The 3,891-nt window shown below is 41.4% G+C and overlaps 1 protein-coding gene across 21 annotated transcripts in view; it reads left to right on the top strand.

Annotated features, from left to right (window-relative positions):
* ZSCAN5A (zinc finger and SCAN domain containing 5A) overlaps positions 1–3,891 on the top strand; it is a 146,976-nt gene that overhangs the window by 53,659 nt on the left and 89,426 nt on the right. For 11 of the 21 annotated variants that reach the window (NM_001322078.3, NM_001322077.3, NM_001322073.2 and 8 more), the window contains exon 2: positions 1,236–1,337. The exons of 1 other annotated variant lie outside the window; for it this stretch is intronic. In NM_001322078.3, the coding sequence (NP_001309007.1) occupies positions 1,305–1,337 (33 nt within the window). In that variant the 5' untranslated portion in view covers positions 1,236–1,304. Of the gene's footprint in view, positions 1–57; positions 200–274; positions 371–1,235; positions 1,338–3,891 lie in introns of those variants that run through there. 9 more of the 21 variants (NM_001322076.2, NM_001322070.2, NM_001322075.2 and 6 more) reach the window with 3 other exon arrangements.

Raw genomic sequence — 3,891 nt, 5'->3', positions numbered from 1 at the left:
GTGGGTTGGGGAGAGGGAGGGCGCATGCGCCTGGGGCGGGGACGTGGGAGGAGGGGGAGATTCGTGGGAGGACCGAGCCCGGGGATGGGACTGGAGGAGTTTCCGTGACCTTGCGGGCTGTTTGTGCTGAGGGACAGCTTTATTTAAATAATAATATGCGTGCAGGCGCCCTGCATGATTCCTGGCCGCGTGCTTTCTAGTAAGTGCGCAGAGACTTTTCGCAAGAATTGATTCACTCTTTTTTCCTTCCCTCCCGATTTTTGATTGGAAACCCAGACTTCCTTTCACGCCTGTCGCCAGGTTAACTAGGTCACTGTTTGCTCTCAGGAGCAACCCTGCCTCCCGCAGTTCGCTTGGTCCTTGATTACAGGTTCGTGCTGTGCATTCATTCATTCACTGAGAGCCGAATAAGTGCTAGTGGCCAAGGAGACAGCAGTGAGCTCAACAGCTGAATGGCCTCAGACCTTACCGAGTTTCTCAATACCAGGGTTATTGACACTGGGGACAGACATTGCTTTGTTGTGGGGGGCTGCCCTGTGCGTGGTAGGATATTGAGGATCTTCCCTCACCTCACCCACTGGATGCCAGGAAAAATTCTCTCCAGCCCCTAGCTCCTGGTCGTGACAACCAAAAATGTCTCCAGACATTGCCAAATGTCCCCTGGGGGCTGAAGTCAGCCTACTGAGAACTGCTGCCCTAAAAGTTTTCCTGAACACTCTTCTATACCTTCCCATAACTTGGTCACCCAGTAAACTCTCACCAGATGATTGAAATCTGATATGAATGTCTGGACATGATCTGACACATTAACTTCATTTTACATCAAATTTAAGAGCACTCCCATCATCAAAGGGAAGGGATAATTAAATGTACAAAGGCCATTAATGGTATCCAGGAGAAGTTACAAAAAACTAACATCAAGCACCTGGACATATAATCATCTGGTTAGCGTATGAAACCTCCTAATGATAAAAGAATTTATAAAGCTAGTTTAAAAATTAGTTACTACTGGGTTCCACCAAAATAAAATACATCATTTTTGCCTAACTTACCTACGGAGGGATTGGCATTCTCTTCTGATATGGTTTGGCTGTGTCCCCACCCAAATCTCATCTTGAATTCCCACATGTGGGAGGGACCCCGTGGGAGGTAATTGAATCATGGGGGCAGGTCTTTCCCATGCTGTTCTTGTGATAGTGAATAAGTCTCACGAGATCTGATGGTTTTTTATAAAGGGGAGGTTCCCTGCTCAAGCTCTCTTCTCTTGTCTGCTGCCATGTGAGACGTGCCTTTGACCTTCTGCCATGATTGTGAGGCCTCCCCAGCCACGTGAAACTGTAAGTCCATTAAACCTTTCTTTTGTAAATTGCCCAGTCTTGGATATGTCTTTATCAGCAGCGTGAAAACAGACTAATACATCTTCCATCTGTCTGTCATCAACTTACTGGGTGGTTTCCGTGGCTTTTAGCAGTTTCTTTATTACATTTTAAAGGATCAGCCCTGTTTGCACATGAGTTGCTGTAAGAAAAGACAAGAGCTTCCTATGAGCTGTTATGCAAACACAGCCATATCAACTCAGTCAGAATGTCTGGAGATGGGAGCCCAGACCTCTGCACTTACAAATAAACAATCATAATCATAGCAGCAGCAGTAACAGTAACTGGCGCTAACAAGCATGGTGTGCTGACAATGCCTGAACTATGGTTGCAGGATTTCTGTGGAAACACCATCTTTAATTCCCACGATGACTGTATGAAATAGGTGCAGTCTACATCCCCATTTAACAGAGGAGGACATGGGGACACAAACACGTAAGATAAGTGCAGCTGAAGAGTGGAATATTTTTTATTTTACATTTTTAATTTTGGGATAATTTTATATTTACAGAAAAGTTGCAATGATACAGTACAGAGCATTCTCATGTACCCCTTCCCCACTGCCACTACTGTTAACATCTTATATAAGCCTAGTAGATATGTCAGAACCGTAACATTGCTACAGTACTGTTAACGCCAGACTTTATTCACATTTCCCCAGTTTTTTCTCTAACGTCCTTTTCCTGTGCTGGGGTCACATGTGGGACACCACATGACATTTAGTTGCCATGTCTTCCTGCCCTCCTCTGATCTGCAGCAGTGTGTCTGACTCTCCTTGTTTTTAATGATTTTGACAGTTTTGAGGTGTACGGACTAGGTGTTCTGTAAAATGTCCCTCCATTTGGAATTGTATGATGCTTGCTTATGACTAGACTTGGATTATGGGCAGGAACTGACTTGTAAAGTTTTTTTAATTTTAATGAAAAATTTTAAATTGATACTTGGTTCAGTTATCAGACAACCTTTAACCCTGTTTGGAACAACTTGGATATGTGGATCTACTCTTTAACTATAAATGTTAGAAAATATAATTGCAGATCAATTTTAGCATTCAAATTGAGATGTGCCATAAGTGAAAAATACACAATGGATTTCAAAGACTTCATACAAAATGAAGGATATAACTGATCTCATTAATAATTTTTTTTATTGACTACATGTTGAAATGTATCTTGGATATATTGAATTAAATCGTACATATTATTCAAATTGATTTTACCGGGCTTCTGGGCTAGTAGGAAGTGTGAAATAAGTGTGGCTCACAGATTTTTATTGGATAACACTGCCCTAGATAATAACAATACATTAATTGAGAACTATGTGCCAGGCAGTGTGTTTTAGAAATATTATCTTATTTAGAACACGTGAACACATAGGGGTGAACAACACGCACTGGGGCCTGTCGGGGTATGGGATTGTGGGGAGGGAGAGCATTGGAAAAATAGCTAATGCCTGCTGGGCTGAATACCTAGGTGATGGATTGATAGGGGCAGCAAACTACCATGGCACACATTTACCTGTGTAACAAAACTGCACAGCCTGCACATGTATCGTGGAACTTAAAAATATATATATATTATCTCATTTAAACTTTACCTCTATGAGGCAAACTCAGTAGACTGTTTCTTAAACTCCACTTTAAAATGATCCCTGGGGTAAAAGAATTTTCCATCCGTCTATGAAATATACCAACTGATGCTTCAGGCTCACTGAATGCCCCTGGCTAGTGCAGTGCTTTCTAATATGCCTTCATTCTTCTCTATTGGTTCAGTTGTGTGACTACCCAGAGCTAGTTGAGTTGCATTTATTCTAAACCTTTTCATTCTAATGGATTTTATTTCAATTATGTAATGCAATTACATTTAACATAAATGAGGAAAATATGAGTGCATCAGCAAAGAATTGTTTCCACCCAAAACAGTAATTCAGTGGGAAAGATGTGATAAAGGCCGATTGTTAATAAGAGCAACAACAAAAAATATGTCAAGTTGGAATGAGCAAGATGGCTATAGGGATGATCTTTTTCTTTTTTTTAATGCAGTGAGGATTTTGCTTAAATAGCTTTGCAAGCATGCCTGTGTCTCCGCTGCCCTTTTAAGGGACAAACTGGAAATTGTAGGTCCATAGACCTATACAACAACAACAACGAAACCCCCTGGTCTTATATCAAAAGATTAGCAAATGCCTGTACAATTTTATGTTTTAAAACAAAATGGTAAAAGTATTTTTAATTACCTATTGGAACCAACTTATTTGATGAACCAACCAGTGATGGTTCTGATCATGATGATAAGAGAACTTCTACCCTACTGTTACTATCCCCATTTTACAGATGATAAAATAAGGCATTAAGAGACAATACCTTCCCCAAGCCTGCATATCTATTAAGGGGTGGAGCTGGGATTCGAACCCAAGAAACCTGTCTCCAGAGCCAAAGCTTTCAACCAGGACAAGGAACCTCCTCCAGAATAGGCAAGAAACATGCAGGCTGGAGAGCTGGATACGGCTTCCTCCT

The sequence above is a fragment of the Homo sapiens genome, chromosome 19 (assembly GCF_000001405.40).
Source record: "Homo sapiens chromosome 19, GRCh38.p14 Primary Assembly".
NCBI classification, from domain to species: domain Eukaryota; kingdom Metazoa; phylum Chordata; class Mammalia; order Primates; family Hominidae; genus Homo; species Homo sapiens.
This window is presented reverse-complemented; position numbering and strand designations above follow the sequence as displayed.